General features: G+C 38.4%; 1 long non-coding RNA gene across 3 annotated transcripts in view, besides 2 other annotated features; it reads right to left on the reverse strand.

Annotated features, from left to right (window-relative positions):
• The window catches only part of LINC02277 (long intergenic non-protein coding RNA 2277), an 89,356-nt gene that overhangs the window by 46,957 nt on the left and 20,462 nt on the right, over positions 1 to 21,937 (reverse strand). The window lies entirely within an intron of this gene.
• Positions 9,519 to 9,813: an enhancer, noted in NCBI's record as "tiled region #10127; K562 Activating non-DNase unmatched - State 9:DNaseU". NCBI's record gives its function as "activates a minimal TATA promoter and a strong SV40 promoter by Sharpr-MPRA in K562 cells {active_cell/tissue: K562}" and the evidence as "EXISTENCE:reporter gene assay evidence [ECO:0000049][PMID:27701403]".
• Positions 10,906 to 11,106: a silencer, noted in NCBI's record as "peak2144 fragment used in MPRA reporter construct". NCBI's record gives its function as "represses an SCP1 promoter by STARR-seq MPRAs in K562 erythroleukemia cells {active_cell/tissue: K562}" and the evidence as "EXISTENCE:reporter gene assay evidence [ECO:0000049][PMID:32103011]".

Consider the following 21,937-nt stretch of genomic DNA (forward strand, 5'->3'; position numbering starts at 1 on the left):
ACTCACTAAAAAATATTTGGAGGGAGGGGGATCCTGGGAGGAATCTCTCAATGATTACTACCACCATAACATTTCTGTAAAAGAAAAATTTGTTTTTATTTATTATAAGGACATAACCAATTATGTAATATAAGCTAAACTATTTAACATAGTCCCATCAGTCTTCTAAGCAACATAACAAAACCAAAAGTGTGTATGTGTATACATATATATATATATATATATATATATATATATATATATATACCCCTATCCACACACACACATATTCTTTGTAACAAAGCAACCAATTACAATGATGCTGCTAATGATGATGATAGTGATGAAGGTCCTAACCATGTAGTTATCAGTAAGAGTACTTTCCTACCACATTTTGGGAATTATGCTAGACCATTTTACACAATTATTTCTAATCACTGGTATTTCTATGAAGTAGGCACTATCACCCCAACTTACACAGACAAGGAAATGCCAACTCTAGGTTACAAATAATAATAAGTTAACCAGGCATGGTAGCATGCACTTGTGGTCCCAGCTGCTCAGGAGACTGAAATAGAAGGATCCTTGAGTCTGGGAGGTTAAGGCTGCAGTGAGTCATGATTGTGCTACTAAACTCCAGTCTGATTGACAGAGCAAGACTCTGTCTCAAAAGAAAAAAAAAAAATACTAAACATAAAAAGATGCAGAAAAATGTAACATGTAAGTAAAAGAAAACAAGTCAATAGAAATAGACCTAGGAATGACAGAGCTTATGGAATTAGTAGACAAAAGGTTTTGAAAAGCTATCACAAATATGTTCAGAATTTTTTTTAATGTGAAGATAATGAGGAGACAAAGGGAAGATTAAAAAAAGACATCTAGAGATGAAAACCATAATTTTGAAATTTAAAAACTACTGCATTTGCTTGACAACAGATTGTATACTGCACATAAAAGATAAACACAAAACACTGCTGAAAGAAATTACATATGACACAAATGGAAAAACATTCCACACTCATGGATTGAAAGAATCAATATCATTATAATGGCCATACTTCCAAAGCAACCTACTTATTCAAAGCTATCCCAATCAAACTACCAATGGCCTTTTTCACAGAACTGGAAAAACTATGCTAAAATTCATATGGAACAAAAATAAGTACAAGTAGCCAAGGAAATCCTAAGCAAAAAGAACAAAGCTGGAGGCATCACATTACATATATATATATATATATATATATATATATATATATATATATATATATATAAACTTCAAACTATGCTAATGAAGCTACAGTAACCAAAACAGTATGGTACTGGTATAAAAAGATACATACCAATGGAACAGAATGGAGAACCTAGAAACAAAGCCACACACCTACAATCATCTGATCTTCAAGAAAGTTGACAAAATAAGCAAAGAGGAAAGGACTCTGTATTCAATAAATGGTGCTGGGATAGCTGGCTAGCCATATGCAGAATAAAGCTGGACCTCTACCTTTCACCATATACAAAAATTAACTCAAGATGGATTACACAATTAAATGTAAGACCTCAAATTATAGGAATCCTAGAAGAAAACCTAGGAAACATCATTCTGGATGTCAGCGTTGGGAAAGAATTTATGACTAAGTCTTCAAAAGCAATTGCAACAAAAACAAAAATTGACAAAAGGGACCTAACTAAACTAAAGGACTTCTTCACAGAAATAAAAACTATTAACAGAGTAAACATATAAGCTACAGAACAGGAGAAAATATTTGCAAACTATGAATCCAACAAAAAACTAATACCCATAATCTATAAGGAACTTAAACAACTCAGCAAGCAAAAGTCAAACAACCCCATTAAAAAGTGGGCAAAGGACATGAAAAGACACTTCTCAGAAAAAGACATATGAGCAGCCAACAAACCTGAGAAAATGCTCAATGTTACTCATTGTTAGAGCAATGCAAATCAAACCCACACTGAGATACTATCTCATGTCAGTCAGAAAGGCTTTTGTTAAAAAGTCAAAAAATAATAGATGCCGGTGAGGCTGCAGAGAAAAAGGAACACTTATACACTATTGATGGGAATGTAAATCAGTTCAGCCAGTGTGGAAATCAGTTTGAAGATTTCTCATAGAACTTAAAACAACTACCATTTGACTCAGCAATTCCATTACTGGGTATATACCCAAAAGAAAATAAATCACTCTACAAAAAAAATACATGCATTCATGTATTAGTCAGGGTTCTCTAGAGGGACAGAACTAAAAGTGTGTATATATATGTATACATATATATATAAGTATACATATATATATGCCCTTTTATATATATATATATATATATATATATATATATATATATATATATATATGCCCCTATATATATATAGGGGAGTTTATGGCTGTCATATGTAATATATAGATATATTTTATATATATAAAGAGGAGTTTATTATTAACTTACATGATCACAAGATCTTACAATAGGCTGCCTGCAAGCTTGAGGAGCAAGGAGAGCCAGTCCGAGTCTCAAAACTGAAGAACTTGAAATATGATGTTCTAGTTATAACAAAATCATGCCCTTTACAGCAACATGAATGCAATTAGGGGTCCTCACAACTAGTCAAGGTTCTCCTACCGAAAAAGACATTGGTAGTTTGATTGTGATAGCATTGAATCAGTAGGTTGCTTTGGGAAGTATGCCCATTTTAATGATATTGAGTCTTTCAATCCATTATCCTAAGTGACTTAATGGAGGAACAGAAAAACAAATACTGCATGTTCTCACTTAGAAGTGGGAGCTAAACATTGGGTACACATGTGCATAAAGATGGAAGCAACAGACACAGGGACTACTGGAAGCGGGAGGGAAGGAGGAGTGCAGGGACTGCAAAACTAACTATTGAGTACTATATAGTACTCACTGCTTGGGTGATGGAATCATTTATACCTCAAACCTGAGTATCATGCAATAAACCCATGTAACAAACCTGCACATATACCCTCTAAATCTAAAATAAAAGTTGATATTATAGTACTCTAATGTACACTCATGACAATCCTAAGGCATAAGTGATTATAAATAAAAATAAATAAACATGAAAGCAATAAAAAATAAAATACATAAGCCCTAAAAAAAACCCTATAAACCCACAGACCCTCAAATATCAGCAAACCTCAAGCTGGATAAAGAGACAATCTTAAGGAGCCAGAGAAAAAAAGACACTTTAAATACAGGGAATAAATATAAGAATTTATTTAAACAATATAAGTTGGAAGAAAATAGAATAACACCTTTCATACACTAAAGGAAAAAAAGTTGGTAAGCCAGTTTAAAAAATAAAAACTCTGGAAATTAAGGCAAATAAAGATATTTTTAAACAAATAAAGACAGAGAATTCATTGCCACCACACCTGCACCATAATTAATGTTAAAGAAAGTTCTTCTGGCTGGTGGAAAATTATACCAGATAGAAATTTAAATGTGCACAAGGAATAAAGAGTGCTGAAAGTGGTAAGTATGTGAGTAAATATAAGATATATTACTCATTTTAAAATTTACTTAAGTGATAACTGTTTAAAGAAAAATCTATAAATTTTGTTTATAACTTGTGTAGAAATAAAACACTTGATAATAATAGCACAAAGGACAGGAGGTAAGAATGAAAACATACTGTTCTTATACTATGAAGTGCTAAAATATGTGAAAAGTTAATATTACATTATGATAACTTAAAGATGTATATTGTAACCCTATAGAAACTACTAAAACAAATAAGTATAGCTAATAGACCAACAGTTGCTATAAAATAAAGTAGTAGAAGATACTGAATCCAAGAGAAAGCAGGATAATATGGGGGAAAGGAGATAATGTTGGACAAATCAAAGCTACTGGCAAGATCAAAACTTTATCCCCACTATTTTGATCATCCAATTAAATGTAAATGGTCTAAACACCCCAATTTAAAAAGCAGACTGTCAGGCTGTGGAACAAAGCAGGACCAACAAACTACATGCTATCTACAAAACAAACAAACAAAAAACCCATACAAACACACACATTTTTAAAATAAGCAAATAATAAGGTCTAATGATATTAAACAGTCACCTCCAGAAACCCTAAAACCAACGAAAGGACCCCATCCTTAATACTCTGTTCCTCTAAAACCACCCCTGCAACCAAAATCTGTATTAGTCAAGGTTCTCTAGAGAGGGTTATCTAGTTCTCTAGTTCTCTAGTCAGGGTTCTCATAATTAGTCTGTGTAAAGTAAATTTGAACATTCATTTTACAAATGAAGATATACAACTGGCCAATAAGCCATGAAAATATACTCAACATCATTAGTCACCAGGAAAATGTAAATTAAAACAATAATGAAATAACAGTACACACTTATTTTAAAAGACTGACAATACCAATTGATAGAACTAAAATTCTGATACATTGCTAAGTAGAATGTAAAATAGTAGTATAACCACTGTAGAAAACAGTTTGCCAGTTTCTTAATCATGTTGAAAATATACAAACCATATGACCTAGCACTTTCATTCTAAATATTTCCCCGAGAAAAATGAAAATCTATTCCCATAGAAATACCTTAGCACTAGGCCTGGCACGGTGGCTCAAGCCTGTAATCCCAGCACTTTGCGGGGCCGAGGCAGGCAGATCACGAGGTCAGGAGATCGAGACCATCCTGGCTAACACAGTGAAACCCCGTCTCTACTAAAAATACAAAAAATTAGCCGGGCGTGGTGGCGGGCGCCTGTGGTCCCAGCTACTGGGGAGGTTGAGGCAGGAGAATGGCGTGAACCCGGGAGGCGGAGCTTGCAGTGAGCCAAGATCGCACCACTGCACTCCAGCCTGAGCGATAGAGCAAGACTCCGTCTCCAAAAAAAAAAAGAAAGAAAGACCTCAGCACTAATGTTTGTAGCAGCTTTATTAATAATAGCCTAAAATTATAAGCAACCCAAATTATCATCAGCAGGTAAATAAATTAGCAAACTATCGTATATTGCTACAATGGAATATCACTCCATAAATAAAAAATAAAAATCTACACACTACTGATACTTACAAAAATATGGAAGAATCTTAAAACATACTTAATGAAAAAGCTATATACAAAAGGTTACATACTGTATTATTTCAGACAGGCAGTGTGATTTATAGTGACAGCTGATTTGCAGTTGCCTAGGGTTGGGTAGGGAGTGAAGATCAAAGCAAAGGAGCATGAGGAAACTTACTGAACTGATGAAGCTGTTATACCTCTTGATTACAGTGGTGGTTGTAAGGGTACAGTTGTTCCCTTTTATTCACAGTTTTCTCTTCTGCAGTTTCAGTTATCTACACCAACTGCTTTCTGAAAATGTTTAAGAATGTATAAGATATTTTGAGAGACATAAACCATGTAATATAGTATATTGTTATAATTGTTCTTTTTTAAGTTATTGTTAACCTCTCACTGTGGCTAATTTATAAATTAAACTTTATCATAGTAAGTATGTATAGGGAAAAATATAGTATTTATATGGTTTGGTTATATCTGCACTTTCAGGCATACACTGGGGGTCTTGGAACATATTTCCTGTGGGTGAGGGAGGAGTACTGCATACTTTCATTAAAACTAATCTACTGCACACTTAAATATCTTGGCTGTATGCAAATTATAGTAATAAAGTTGATTTTAAGAGAAAAAAACAGATACCATTATTATAGAAATCCATCTGCTTGCTAAATATACACAACCTTGGAAAAGTTTTGTATTACTGTAAGTACCCTCTTATGTAGTGTTATGTAAAATAGGTCCAATAATAACGCCTAATTCTTATATTCTCCCTTTACCAGTTGTTAGTTCTCATCATGGTTATACTTTGTACTTTTTGATGAATGCAAGACAGGTGGAAGTAATTGCCAAATTCATAAAAAGCTGATACACATCCTAACCATCCCCCACTTCAGAGCTTTTTTTTTGAGACACAGTCTTGCTCTGTCACCAGGCTGGAGTGCAATGGCATGATCTTGGCTCACTGCAACCTCTGCCTCCTGGGTTCAAGTGATTATCCTGCCTCAGCCTCCTGAGTAGCTAGGATTGCAGGCATGCGCCACCACACCCAGCTAATTTTGTATTTTTAGTAGAGACAGGGTTTCACAATGTTGGTCAGGCTGGTCTTGAACTCCCGACCTCAGGTGATCCACCCACTTCAGCCTCCCAAAGTGCTGGGATTACAGGCATAAGCCACCACACCCAGCCTAGAGCTGTTAACCGTAGGGATCTCATACTAATAATAAGATCCAAAAAAGTAATGTAATGTATGATGGGACCCAATATTAGACAATAGAAATAGATTGGGGACCGATATCAAGATAACTTTTCAAAAAATTTAAAAATAACTTACATGCTTTCCAAAATAAGCAAGTTTTTTTTCAAATGCTAATAAGAAATTTAATATATAAATTCTATTTTAAAGCCAGATTTTCAGGAATGATTAGTACAGAGAAAATGCATATACGTAAAGTAACTAAAAAGATTCCCTATAGGTTACATTAAATTATGGATTTATAAGTTATTAATTAAAAAATTTGAATATTTAACTATGAAATTATGAGAAGGAAATGAAGTCAGGTGACACTAAGGAAAATAAGGCTTCAGTCAGCCTATATTTGAGTTCTTCATAAAAGCAAAGTGAGGAATAGAAGAGAGACAAAATGTAGATGAAAAATTCAAAACAAAAAAGAGACATTTTAAGCTGGGCATGGTGGCTCACAACTGTAATTCCAGCCCTTTGGGAGGCCAAGGCAGGAGTCACTTGAGGCTAGTTCAAGACCAACCTGGACAGCATAGTAGGACCCCATCTCTACAAATATTTAAAAACTAAAAAATTATCTGGGCATGATGGCACACAAGGCTAGTCCCACATAATTGGGACACTGAGGCAGGAGGATCACTTGAGCCCAGGGTGTCCAGGCTGCAGTGAGCCATGATGATGTCACTGTACTACAGCCTGGGTGACAGAGTGAGACACTGACTCAAAAAAAAGAGAGAGAGAGAGACATTTTTGTCCTAATTTTGCACTTGGTCTAAATGATTTGGACGGCCCATCTCTCTTATCTCATGTCTCTTTTATACCACTGCAGGAAGTATTCATACAAAAAACAATAATAGTAAGTCATCCTTCCAAGTATACCATGAGTCTAGACTTCAATTTTCCTGTGATCTCTGATTCCCTGCTGCTGACAATGGCCACATCCCAAAGTCCTGTTTCATCCACAATAGGAGGGCTTAAGTTGCATCGCTTTGTTTTCAGAAACTGCAGTGCCTTTGTAGAAGCAACTAACACAGAAAAATTAAGTAGAAGTTCAAGGTTACAGAAAAAATAGGTGGGTGCTCTGGAAAAAAAATGCTGATCCATTAATAACTGAGAACAAAACACTGCAGGTAAAAGAGAAATCTTTGTTAAACACCCCAGGTCAAAAAACTAGCTTCCTTAAAAATAACAGAAAATTACATTTGTGTTTGCTCTTAAGTGATCTTTCTTGTACCTAGATCTTATTTATTTTGCACTATGAATCTTTTTGGAATTCATTTATTTGACACAATTATGAAGCCATTTGCTAAACATTTCAATTTTAGGCACTGTACTAGACATAGGTAAGAAAAAAATGAATATGAAACTGTGGCTTCTGTGGCTTTTGTGGCTTTTGCCATTGAGAAGCTAGAAATAACCATTGGCAGCCCTGCTTACCCAGTGCAAATTCCACATGCTAACATTATCAGTATGACTTAGGAACACTGAAATTAGTCTTTTCAGTTTACAAGATTTGGGAGCTGCCAGAATACCCCGTTACACCTAAGGCTGGTGACTGTGAAAGAGCACAAAACGCATTGCACATGGGTAGGAATTAGGAATAATTAAGGTGCCTTTTCAGACCCTAGCAGGAAACATTGATACGACCTTAAGGATAAATACCCACCAACTCCTGCTGACATACAAAAAAGCACAATATGTTTTAGGCAAGGCATCAGCAGTCAGCTATTGTTACAGGCACATACTCCTAAATTAGGTATTCAATCTCGTCTGCCTATTAAGCTAAGTTGCAGTTCATTCACAAGGACTCAAATATGGAAGTATGGAGTCCTTCTCAGGCCGTATTTAGTTTGCTTTAACAGTGGATTCAAAGATTTTCTGATTGGAAATTGTCTGAAAAAGTTAAATTATTATCTAAAGACCTGATTCAATAGAAAGGAGTGTCTGGGTTAAGACCATGGGTTGTGGGCTGGGTGCGGTGGCTCACGTCTGTAATCCCAGCATTTTGGGAGGCTGAGGTGGGCAGATCACCTGAGGTTAAGAGTTCGAGATCAGCCTGGCCAACATGGTGAAACCCCGTCTCTACTAAAAATACAAAAATTGGCTGGGCGTGGTGGCAGACACCTGTAATCCCAGCTACTCAGGAGGCTGAGGCAGGGAAGCGGAAGTTGCAGTGAGCCAAGATCGTGCCATTGCACTCCAACCTGGGTGACAAGAGTGCAACTCTGTCTCAAAACAAAGAAAAAAAATAGATAAGGGATTGTAGAGACCAAAGTCTTTATTATAAAGTCTTACAGGTGGCTGCCCTTAGAGGCAAGAGATACCAAAAGTTTCCTATTCTGACCTTTAAAAAGTGTTAGACTCTCAGCTAATCTCTTTGGGATCAGAAAAAGACCTGGGAAGGGGATTCTCTACAAAGCATAAATATCCCCCACAAGAGAGTTTTGTGAGGCCATTTCAAAATATGTCAAAGAAATAAATTTTAGGGTAAAATACTTTGATTTATTTCAGGGCCTGCTATCTGTCATGTGATGCTATACTACAGTCAGATTGGAATTTTTTATCTTCTTACTACAAACAGTCAGTTTTGTCAGTCTAAAGATCCGTTTTAATGTTAGTGCTGGTTGGTTGTGTCTGAATTCCAAAGGGAGGAGAGTATAATGAGGCATGTCCAACCCCCTTCCCATCATGGCCTGAAATACTTTTTCAGATTTCTTGGGAATCCCATTGGCCAAGAGAGGAGTCCATTCAGTCTGTTGGAGGGCTTAGAAATTGATTTTTGGTTTGCAGAAGAATGGAGAGAAGCTGAGTTCTCAGTTAAAGGAGGGGATGGAAGGCGTTGGGGAGTGTGTGACAGGAAATACAAAGATAGGCTTCTGGATAAGTTAATACATGCAGCAAGTTAAGAGTAACTACTACTCATGTTGTAGAAAATCAGGAGGGCAAGGGAGACCTCAGGGTATAGCAGGAGAATCTTTTATTGAGTGCACTCCAGCCCAGCTGACTCAACGTCCAAAAAACTGGGCCCAGAACAAAATCAAGGTTTTGCTTATATACCTACTCCTAAGTGGCGCAAATGCGAATGTACAGAGGCAAGACAAAGGCCGTTAATCAAACTAAGACAAGCTTATAACTCAGGTTTAGTATACTCATTACTATGCAGCCCAAATGGTCGTTATCTGGTTAGTTCAAAGGAGTTTCACAAAGACTCATCTTGCGACCCCTACCACGGTGCCTAGCTGGCTACAAGCTAGAACTGCTCAGGCTATACTGCTTAGATCAAGAAGCAGGAACCTACAATCATTAACTATAGGAAAAACAGAAACTCATAAAACTTACAGAGCAAGGAGCAAGGTATAGTTTACATAGCAGAGGGGATGGGATTCAAGGGGGAAGTTTACTTACACTAAAGGAGAGATAGGAACACTTATCTCTTCACATCCTTATGTTGAGGGAGTGTTGGGAGAGTCTTCAGAGCACGTTCCTCTGAGCTGTGGCTCTTAGATAACGTTATCGAAACTTTGCCTGTTACTGCCTTTGAAATGAATCAGCCTAACACAGGTAGCTTGTTTTTTTCTCTTTTTTAATCTCTATTTTCTTTCTTTCTTTAATTTTTTTCCCTTTTTTCCCTCCTCACTTATTAAATATTTATGACACTGCTGGAAATGCAAAATGCTTGCTCCTCAGTGCCGTGAAGGAATAGCACTTGAATGTAAATTTAATTCTCTCAGCAAGGCAATTTTTACTTCTATAGAAGGGTGTGACTCACAAATGGGGTAATGGCGAGAACACACCTGGACAGGGGAAGGGAAGGAGCTCTTATTCCTGACGCAGGTAGCCCCTACTGCTGTGTTGTTCCCCTACTGGCTAGGGCTGGACTGCACAGTCTTAGCTAATTCCGACTGGCTATTTTAAAGAGGGCAGGGGTATAAGCCAGAGTGGTGGGGTAAGTGGTTTGGAGGGAAGGATGGTTAGGAACAGGTAACTAGAGGTGACTTAGGTTAGAGCAGGTGACCAGGAGTAACTTGGGTCAAAGCAGGTGACTGGGATGAGTCAGGATGGGGCAGGTGACCGGGGTGACTTAGGTCAAAGCAGGTGACCGGGATGAGTCAGGACAGAGCAGGTAACCAGGGAACAGATGTGAACTACTGATTAGGACTGGCAGGAAAGTTGTTTACTGAAACTGGAAGCAAGGGAAGTAAGAGAACCAGGAAGTTAAACTTTAAAATGGGGAATCAAAGAGTAAGAGAGCTGAACATACTGACATACTGATTCTTTGAAGAGAAACTTGAGATTCATTATATTTAACTGTCATGCGCATCCATGTGAAGAGACCACCAAATAGGCTTTGTGTGAGCAATAAAGCTTTTTAATCACCTGGCTGCAGGCAGGCTGAGTCCGAAAAGAAAGTCAGCAAAGGGTGGTGGGATTATCGTTAGTTCTTATAGGTATGGGATAGGTGGTGGAGTTAGGAGCAATTTTTTCATGGGCAGGGGCTGGATCTTACAAAGTACATTCTCAAGGGCAGGGAGAATATTACAAAGTACCTTCTAAAGGGCGGGGCAGAATATTACAAAGTACCTTCTTAAGGGCGGGGCAGAATATTACAAAGTACCTTCTTAAGGGCGGGGGAGGATATTACAAAGTACTTTCTCAAGGGTAGGGAGGGTGTATCATGTAAAGTACATTCACAAGGGCAGGGGAATATCACAAAGTACATTATCACATTATCACAAGGGCCTGGAGGGTGTATTGTCACAAAGTCAATTGACAGTTAGGGTGGGGCAGGAACAAATCACAGTGGTGGAATGTCATCAGTTAAGGCAGGAACTGGCTATTTTCACTTCTTTGGTGGACCTACAGTTGCTTCAGGCCATCTGGATGTATACGTGCAGGTCACAGGGGATATGATGTCTTAGCTTGGGCTCAGAGGCCTGACATTAAAGACACTGTGTTTGCTGAGTGTTATATACTCAATACATCCCCTGAGGAAGCCACTATTAATTATTACTATTGTCAAAGAAACAAAGCTTCTATCATGTTTGGATTTGAATCCACTGGAAATACTTTATGTTGTTATTGCTATTGCTCGCTGAAGGCCCTCAGGGAAACTCAGGTTGGAGCCCATTCTGCTTACCCAAGGCTGGTAAGTTCATTTACAGCTCAAAGGAAGAAATGTCATCTCCTAAACCAAATCTATTTGATAAATTAAATGAAAATATAAGGCTTCCCAGTGCTTGCCTATGAAGGTTAAGTTCCAGAAAAATTAAACAGGGAATTTTAAATGTCTTAAGAAGAATTTGTCTTGTCTTCTTAAAAAGGAAGCACCTGCATTCCTTCTCAGGGTTATATCAAGAGACGGAGTCCATATATATTTAAAGTTAAGTATGGCCTTTTCCCCACATGTCTGCTCTTACGGGAGTAATCATCTTTGATTGTGTACCCCTGTGATATTTAAAATACCTGTTTGGTCTGCATCCATGTTTCCTGGTATACAACTTTAAAAATCCTTGGAATTTCCAAAGTGCTATCTTTTTGCATGCTAATGTTGGCTGATAGCTTCAGGGTGGGGATGATCACCTGAGACAAAGGCATAATTAAAGTGTTGGGACTTTCAGCCCCAACCCCCAGACTCCTGAGAAAGGTAAGGACTGAAGGTCAAGCTGATCAGCAATGGCCAATGGTTTAATTATTTAGGCCTACTTAGTGAAGTCTCTATAAAAACCCAAGAGGACACAGTTCAAAGAGCTTCTGGATAGGTGAACATATGGAGGTTTCTGGAGGAGGGTAGGCCCAGGGAGGACATGGAAGCTCTGTGCCCCTTTTCACATACTTCATCCTATGAGTCTCTTCATCTGTATCCTTTGTAATATCCTTGACAATAAATGATAAACCTAAGTGTTCCCTGATTTTTGTGAGCCAATCCAGCAAATTAAAACCCCAAATTGAAGACCATCAATCAGAAGTTCCAGGCCAGGCATGGTGGCTCACACCTGTAATCCTAGCACTTTGGGAGGCCAAGGCAGGTGGATTTCCTGAGCTCAGGAGTTCAAGACCAGCATGGGCAACATGGTGAAACCTCATCTCAACTAAAATACAAAAAATTAAACGGGTGTGGCAGCATACACCTGTAGTCCCAGCTACTCGGGAGGCTGAGGCAGGAGAATTGTTGAACCCAGGAGGTGGAGGTTGCAGTGAGCCATGATCATGCCACTACACTCCAGCCTGGGTGGCAGAGTGAGACTCCGTCTCTAAAAGAAAAAGAAGTTCCAGAGGCCAGAGGCCTGGACTTGTGACTGATGTCTAAAGGGCAGTCCTGGGGACTGAGCCCTCAACCTGTGGGATCTGACACTATTTCCATGTAGATAGTGTTGAAACTGACTTGGAGGACACCCAGTTAGTGTCTGTTGTAGAATTAGTTACTAGCTTGATGGTGGGGAAAAAACCACATATTTGGTCACAAAAGTCTTCTTCTGTGTTGATGCTTATTGTTATGGTGGCGTGACAGGAGAAGAAAAGCAAGGATTGTGAGTTTTTCTGAAACTACCTGTGATCACAGAATATAATTTTTTTTCCACCCCTTGTTCCACTCCTTGTGGGATGGGGAGCACAGGTGAGCAGGTGCAGGAGTGAGGGCAAGCACTTTTGGGCTCTGGCAGGGGCAAAACTCCGTGTGTGCCCTGCAGCAGCATCTAGTGGGTTGCTCACGACCCCTGAAGCCCCAGAAGGAGTGTTACAGTGACTCTTTCGCTTTTCTGTCCACAGACAGTTTAAGTGTTAACAGCTCAGTGGAGGGTTAGTGTGACAGCCTTTTGCACCTGCACTTGTGGCACCCAAGTTCTTGTGCAGTGTCCAGGAGGAATGAGGTCGCGTGAATAAACTGAAGATGGTAAACACAGGGGATTTTATTGCTGATGAGAGTGGCTCTCAATGGGAAGAACAGAGCAGGAAGGTAATCTTCCTCTGGAGTCTGGCCATTCCTGGACTCCTCTCTGAAGCTGCACCAGACTCATCTCTGAAGCTGCACTGTCAAGCTGCCCCTCTGAAGTCAAACTGCTTCCCTCCAATGTCCAACCATAGTTTCTGTCATCCAGCTGCTTCTCCTCTCTCCTGGCTGAGTTCTGGGATTTTTATAGGCACATGATGGGGGCAGAGTGGGCTATGGGTGGTATCAGAAAAGACAACATTCAAGCAGGAAAACAGGGATGTACCTTCTCACTTTGGGCCGCAGTATCAGGCTTTTTGGCTTGAGGGTGGGGCCCTTGTCCGGGACCAGCCCTATTGTGCCCAGAATTTCCCTGCCTCCTGTCTCTATCATTATCTCATCAGCACATTATTTGTATTTCCAAAATTATTTCCTCCTAAACCTTATTCATTAGCATTATTTGTGAAATGTGGTTTCTTTTCTTTTTAGCCAACACTGAATCAAGTTTTCTGTTTCATAAATTCTATTTTCTCAGCACATTACATATGAAAAAATTGAAGCACAGAGAAGGTGAATATACCAAAATTCACACATATGTTAACTACCAGGTTAGAACTGCAACCGAGACCTGAGTTCCAAGTGATTCCCTGTCCCATTATATGACTCTGCCTCCCTCAAGGGCTGGTAGAACAGCTGAAGCAATGGGAAGTTTAATGTGAGAAAGAAGTGCAAAAGAGTCAATAGGCTGGATACGTTTCTACACGGGAGCTGGCTGTTCAATTCCAAGCTTTGGAACACAGGATATGCTAAAGACTCCAAGTTTGTTTCTGTACCTAGAAGGTACATGAAAAGTTTCAGCAGCTCCGCAAAAATATCTGGCATGAGAAAGCTGTGCCACTATGACTCATCTGAATAATGAAAGCCCATTAACAGTATAGTCAGGGCGCCATCTGGCAAGGTGAGGAAATGATCAAGAATAAATATATTGAGTGTCCGTCAGAGGCAGCATTGTGTACTTGTTAGGAAAGCAGATCTTGAAATCAAACTACCTGGGTAAGAATTCATTCTTCACATCATTGTATTCTTGTGACCCTGAGAAAATTATCTAATATCTCTCTGCTTCAAATTATTTACAAGTAAAATAAGAAGAAGAATAGTATCTACCTCACAGCTTTGTGTGAGGATAAGTTAATATATCTAAATTGTTAATAAACCTGCTTACTATTTAGCGAGCCCTCAGTGTGAGTTATTCTTATCATCAATGAGGAAAATGAAACTAGAGATTCATCTACTTTCTATTCTGCTTTTACCATCTTAGACTATCATGCTTGAGGCACTGTAAATGGGTACATTGAATAATCAATAAAGTAGTTAGCAAAAAGGAGTGGTTTTAAAAATGCACAGATGCTATATAGCAGGTAAGATAAGTATGGAAAGGCAGATGCCCACAACCAACATCTTTACTCAAAGCCTGGAAAACCTGACAGGTAATCTACTTAACTTTAAAAAAAAAAAAAACAAAAAAACAGGCAAATTCTGAATGTATTTCCATAACGGATTAGGGTCAGAATGGTTCAGTGGTCACACAGGTACTTATGCTGAGCAAGCTGAATACTTGGATTCAAGGCAGCAAGACTCATCCAGTGTAGACTGATGGCATTGAGGCCACTGAGAATCACTCAGACTCATTTAGGATATGCTTAGTTCAATGCACATTTGGTATATTTCCCACCAAGCTTTTACTGGCGTTATTTAGGGTACCACACCCTGAATTTCTTTAGAAAACGACACCCAACTGATTCTCAATCTATCTGGTTCCAGTGGTGATCCAACCTCAAAAAGGGGCAGAAACCCATGCCCTACTAGTTCTTTAGTTCAAGGTTAGACATGTACCCAGGTTGTTCCAATCAGAATGAAGGCCAGGATTTGATCAGAATACTCAGAAAAAGACACTTTCACTTCTATGGGATTCTAACCCAGGAAAATGTAGGTTTAAAACTTCTGTGTGACAACTTTCTTCTCCCACCCCTGAAGACTAAGAATGAAACCAACAGGGAAAAAGATAAGAAATAAAGAGGAGAATAAAATCTTGATCACATTGTTTGAGCCTATAACCAGGCCACACTTAAAATGAAACTATCCTCTGGATTTTCAAGTTATATAAGACAATAAATCCCCCATATTTTTAAAATCAGTTAGTTAGTATTCTGTCTTGTGCAACAGAAAGAATCTTAGCTGATACACTTAGGAACTGAAAGGGAAGACTTAGATGAAGACTGATTTCTGTAGCTGGCAAAAACTGGAATAGAAAAGTCATGGAGTGACATCAGTGAAATGCCAACTAGAGTTACCTGGCTCTCCCCACCTCAACAAAAAGGGACCAAAACAATAAAAAAAAAAAACAACAACTATATTTTGAGTGGAGTGACTAATCAAGTACCCTAGAGAACACCAAGGAGTGGTAAAAACCCTGTGGACCACAGACAATTAGGATACCACCATAGAGAGGGGTGCAAGCTACCCTGCCACTTTACAATGTCTCCCCCACCAGGATAAGCTCGGAGATGGAGGGATTTCTTCTTACAGGAAAAAGAAAAGTTGAACCAGGAGCCCCATTATCATCACAGATGCTGGTGGTCCTTTCTATAGAAGAATCCCCTAGCCCTCACAGGACCCAAACTCACTTTGGAGAGTTGCTAGAAGTTGGCACAGCTGCATTGCTCTGGAATAGGAACCCACATTGTGAATCCCCCACTCTTGTGATGTAAACTGTACTACATAGCACCATCTTAACACCAGACCAACTGCTAGAATGTGTTCTGCCCTGGGGGCCAGAACACACTGCCTTTATCCATTGCCTAGGTCCCAACATCATTCTTTCATGTTCACATGCATGCCTGAAACACTATGACCCTGGGTACTAGCAGTATAGGCTGGACAAAATGATTAAAACCCAAGTGTTTGAAACCATATGGCAACCAGCTCCTCTGGGAAATAAGCAGACTTGAACAACAGGGACACCACCAAACTACCAGCCAGGTTACTGCTCCCACATGTGCCCCCGTCAGGCAGCCAGGCAGTTTACAGTACATGTGAGAGCCTGTGGACAGCTTAACAGCCACTTCAGCAGAGCCCTGCTTTGCCAGAGGGTCCATCACTAACAATGGCCTGACACATCTGTGCCCACACTGACAGCCAGTCTGTTGGTAATCCAGCTCTGGGAGAGACTGCCACACTGCTGGCCGACCAACCATGCCTGCATGTGTCTGGCCCTGCAACCAGCTTGGCAGCCCTTCCCCCAGCAAAAATGCACCCTGGCTGTCACAAACTCCCACAGCTAAGGCACCAAGGCTAACACAAATATCGGCCGATGAGAAATATAGTTGAAGAAACTACACAGAGACCACACTACTGAGTCCACACAGACACAAAGCCAAGGCACCATACCCAACTGACACCCAGGATCTTCTACGGAAAAAAAAAAATGTTCCCCCTACAAAACCATTCCATAAAATTGGAAAAAGCAACCTGTTCCACTAGATGTGTAGATATCAGTAGATATGAGAAACAAACAAACAAAAAACTCCAGGAAACAGGACGCCCCCAAAAGAACACAATAATTCATGAGTAGTAAAACCCCCACAAAGGATATTTACAAAATGCCTGAAAAGAAATTCAAAATAATTATCTTCATGAAACTTAGCAAGACACAAGAGAATACTGACAAACAATTCAATGAAATCAGAAAAGCAATTCATGATATGAATGAGAAATTCAATAGAAAGAAATAAGAAAAAAAGAAAACAAAAATATTAGAGCTGAGGAATTCAAAAAGTAAATTAAAAATACAGTAATACAATTAAGACCTTCAACAACAGACTAGATCAAGCAGAAAAAAAGAATTTCTGAATTTGAAGACAGCTCTTTTGAAATAACCCAGTCAGAGGGAAAACAGAAATAAGAATAAAAAAGAATAAAGAAAGCTTATGGGACTTTGGGAACACCATTTACAAACATATGTTCACAATATAGGAGTTCCAGGGGAAGAGAGATGAAAAAAAGGCACAGAAAACTTATTTAATAAAATAATAGCTTAAAACTTCCTAATCTTGTAATAGATATGAATATCTAGATCTCAGAAACCCAAAAGTCCTCAGTTAGACTCAACCCTTTCCAAGGCACATAATAATTAAACTTTCAAAAATAGAGAATTCCAAATGCTGCAAGACAAAAGTGTTAAGTTACATATAAGGGAATTGTCATTAGACTATCAGAACATTTCTCAGCAGAAGACTTACAAGCCAGGAGAGAATGGGATGACATATTCAAAGTGCTGAAAGACATAATCGTCAACTAATAATACCATATTCAGCAAAACCATCTTTCCAAAATAAGAAGAAAATAAAGGCCTTCACAGATAAGCAAAAGCTGAAGGAATTCATCACCACTAGACTGGCCTTATAAGAAATGCTTAAGGGGCCAGGCATTGTGGCTCATGCTTATAATTCCAGGACTTCGGGAGGCCAAGGTGGAAGGATTGCTGAAAACCAGGAGTTCAAGACCAGTGTGGAAAACAGAGTGAGACCCTGTATCTACAAACAATAATAATAATAATCTGGGCATGGTAGCATATGGCTGCAGTTTCAGCTACTCATTAGGCAGAGGTGGAAGGATTGCCTGAGTCCAGGAGGTCGAGCCTACAATAAGCCATGATCACACACTACTGCACTCCACTGTACACTCCTGGGTGGCACAGTGAGATCCTGTCTCAAAAAGAGAGACAGAAAAAAAGAAAGAATGAAATGCTTAAGGGAGTTCTACAACTGTAAGCAAAACAACAATAATTACTATCATGAAAACATGTGAAGGTATAAAACTCACCAGTAGAGGAAAATTCATATTCAAACTCAGAATACTACAGTACTGTAATGATGCTTTATAAATCTTCCAATTTACTAGTATGAAAGGCTAAAGACACAATATTAAAAAAATAGCTAGCAGATAAAAATGTAAATTTTAAAATTTTAGGGCAACAAAAATATAAACTGTGGGGCAGAGGAAAAAATTCTAAAGTATTTTCATGCAACCAAAGTCAAGTTGTTATCAGTGTAAAATAGCCTATTATAATTACAAGACTATGTTAGTCCATGGTAACTACAAATAAAAAAAATTATAACTGATGCACAAATCAGAAAGAGAAAGAAAACAAAGTGTAGCATCACAGAAAACCTATAAACCAGAGGTAAACAATGAGAGAGAGAAAAGAACAAAGGATTTTAAAACAACCAGAAAACAATAAAGTTGGAGAAGTCTTTACCTACCAATATGTTTCTAAATGAAAATGAATTAAATTCACCAATTAGAGGAGCCAGGCACGGTGGCTCATGCTTGTAATCCCAGCACTTTGGGAGGCCGAGAGGGGTGGATCACGAGGTCAGGAGGTCGAGACCAGCCTGGCCAACACTGCGAAACCCTGTCCCTACTAAAAATACAAAAATTAGCTGGGCGTGGTGGCAGGCACCCATAATCCCAGCTACTTGGGAGGCTGAGGCAAGAGAATCGCTTGAACCCGGGAGGCGGAGGTTGCAGTGAGCTGAGATTGCACCACTGCACTCCAGCCTGGGCAACAGAGCTAGAATCCATCTCAAAAAAAAAAAAAAAAAAAAACAGTGGCTAAATAAATTTTTTAAATGCCCAACTACATGCTGCCTACAAGAGACTCACCTCATTCTTAAAAACAAACAGTGAAAGTGAAGAGATGGAAAAAAGACATTCGTCATACATGAAAACCAAAACTAAGCAGGAGTGACCATAACAGATAAAATGAATTTTAACTAAAATACTGTAAAAAGAGGCAAAGTCACTTCATAATTATATAAGGATTTATTTAATAAGAGGATATAACAAATGCAAATATATATGCACCCAACACTGGAGCATGCAAATATGTAAAGCAAATATTCTTAGTACTGCAAATGTAAGGTATTAGGTTCAGCTTAGTGCCTCAGAACTGTTTTTTCCCTAGCTGAAGCATATGCCAGTCCATTTAAATAATGGACAGATCATCCAGACAGAAAATCAACAAAGAAAGACTGGACTTACACTGCACCATAGATCAAAGGGACCTAACAGACATTTACAGAACATTCCATCCAACAGCTACAGAATACACATTCTTCTCAACTTCACATGTAATGTCCTCCCATATAGATCATATGTTAGGTCAGGAAACACTCTTAACAAATTAAGAAGACAGAGATCATCTCTGATATGATTTGGCTCTGTGTCCCAACCCACATCTCATCTCAAATTGTAATCCCCATGTGTCGGGGTAGGGGGCTGGTGGAAGGTGACCGACTCATGGAAGTGGACTTCCCCCTTGCTGTTCTCATGACAGTGAGTTCTCATGAGATCTGGTTGTTTGAATGTGTGTGGCACTTCCCCCTTCACACTCTCTCATTCTCTGCTGCCACCACGTGAAGAAGCTCCCTGCTTCCTCTCCACCTTCCACCATGACTATAAGTTTCCTGAGGCCTCTCAGTCATGCTTCTCATTAAGCCTGTGGAACTGAGTCAATTAAACTTCTTTTCTTTATAAATTACCCAGTCTCAGGTAGTAGTTCTTTTATAGCAGTGTGAAAACGGACTAACACAATTTCTTCTTTTCTGAGTAAAACCACGTACATCTGGAAATCAACAAGATAAATTTCAAAAACTTTGCAAATACATTAAAATTGAACAGCATGCTCCTTAATAAGCAATGGGTCAATACAGGAATTATAAGAGAAATTTAAAACTTCCTAGAGAAGTGAAATGAAAACACAACATACCAAAACTTACAAGACACAGCAAATTCAGTTGTAAAAAGAAAGTTTATACCAATAAATGCCTACATATAAAAAAATTATAGTAAAAAAACCTAAAGATGCACTTCAAGGAACTAGAAAAACAAGAACAAACTAAGCCCAAATGGTAAAAGGAAATAAATAATGAAGCTCAGAGAAGACAAAAACAAAATAGAGACTTAAAAATTCAAAAGATCAATGAAATAAAGAGTTGGTTTTTGGAAAGATAAAAAGAATAAATTTTTATCTAGGTGAAAAAAAAGAAGGTGCAAAGAAATAAAATCAGAGATGAAAAGGAGACATTAGAACTGATATGACAGAAATACAAAGGATCATAAGATACTGTTATGAAAAACTATACACAAACAAATTTGATAACGTAGAAGAAATGAGTTAATTCCTGGACACATACAGCCTACCAAAATTAAATTATGAAGAAATAGAAAATATGCACAGACTAATAACAAGTAAGGAGATTGAATCAGTAATAAAAAGTCACCCTTCAGACAAAAGCCCTGGACCTGATGTCTTTACTGCTAAATTCTTCAGAACCTGTAAAGAACCCAGCAATTCTCCTCACACTATTTCAGAAAACTGAAGAGGAGGAAATTATTCCAAACTCACTTTACAAGAATAGCATTACCCTGATTCCAAAACCAGACAAAGACATAACAAAGAAACAAAACTACAGGTGAATATCCTTGATAAAACATAAATGCAAAAATTCTCAGCAAGATATTAACAAACCATATTTAATAGCACATTAAAAAGATCATTCATATGATAAAGTGGGATTCATCCCAGGGAGTCAAGGATGGTTCACCATACACAGATCAATAAGTGTTATATATTACCTTAACAGAAAGAAAGGCAAAAACCATGTGATCATTGCAACAGATGCAGAAAAAGTGTGTGACAAAATTCAACAACCCCAACAACACTTCATGATAAAAACTCTCAACAAACTGGGTATAGAAGAAATATACCTCAACACAATAGGACCATATTTGACAAACCCACAGCCAATACCATACTGAACGTAGAAAAATTGAAAACTTTAAGATTAGAAACAAAACAAGGATGCCCACATTGCTATTCAACATCGTACTGGAAGTCCTAGACAGAGCAATTGGGCAAAAGAAGGAAATAAAAGAAACAAACTGTACATCAGAAAAGGGGTAAGTTTCCAAAATATATAAAGAATTTAAACAGTTCAACAGCCAAAAAGAAAACTCATTAAAAAATGGTTGAAATACTTTATGAGACATTTCTCCAAAGAAGACATACTAATGGCCAACAGCTGTATGAAAAAAATGCTCAATATCACTAATCATTAGGAAAACACAAATCAAAACTACAATTAGATAATCACGAATCACTGGGATGTTGTCACATAGTACATTCTTGTTTAATTATGCATAATCAAGTTTTCCTTTATTTTATTATAGTGTAGTTTAATATCTCATTTATGGATACTTATAAGAAGAAATTTTTTTCTAATCTCCCCAAAGCCTTGCAGTGATAGCACTGAGGGAAGCCGGTAGACCTAGAGGCCACTACCAAGTTCCCCTCCATGTGATTTGTTGAATTCCAGGTGGGTGCTCTAACTTTTGGACCATACTCTGAGATTGGCATCTTACAAGGCCAAGATGGTAGTGCCTGTCTTTGTGCCTGATATAGACTTTGGTTTTGCTATTTTATATCAATTATTTTAGACAATTAAATATTGCAAGATATGTAATCTGTCCGAAATCTTTTCTTTTTTTTTCTTCTTTTTTTTTTTTTTTGAGATGGAGTCTTGCTCTGTTGCCCAGGCTGGAGTGCAGTGGCGTGATCTCTACTCACAGCAACCTCCGCCTCCCGGGTTCAAGCGATTCTCCTGCCTCA

This window comes from Homo sapiens, chromosome 14 (genome assembly GCF_000001405.40).
Source record: "Homo sapiens chromosome 14, GRCh38.p14 Primary Assembly".
NCBI classification, from domain to species: Eukaryota; Metazoa; Chordata; class Mammalia; order Primates; family Hominidae; genus Homo; species Homo sapiens.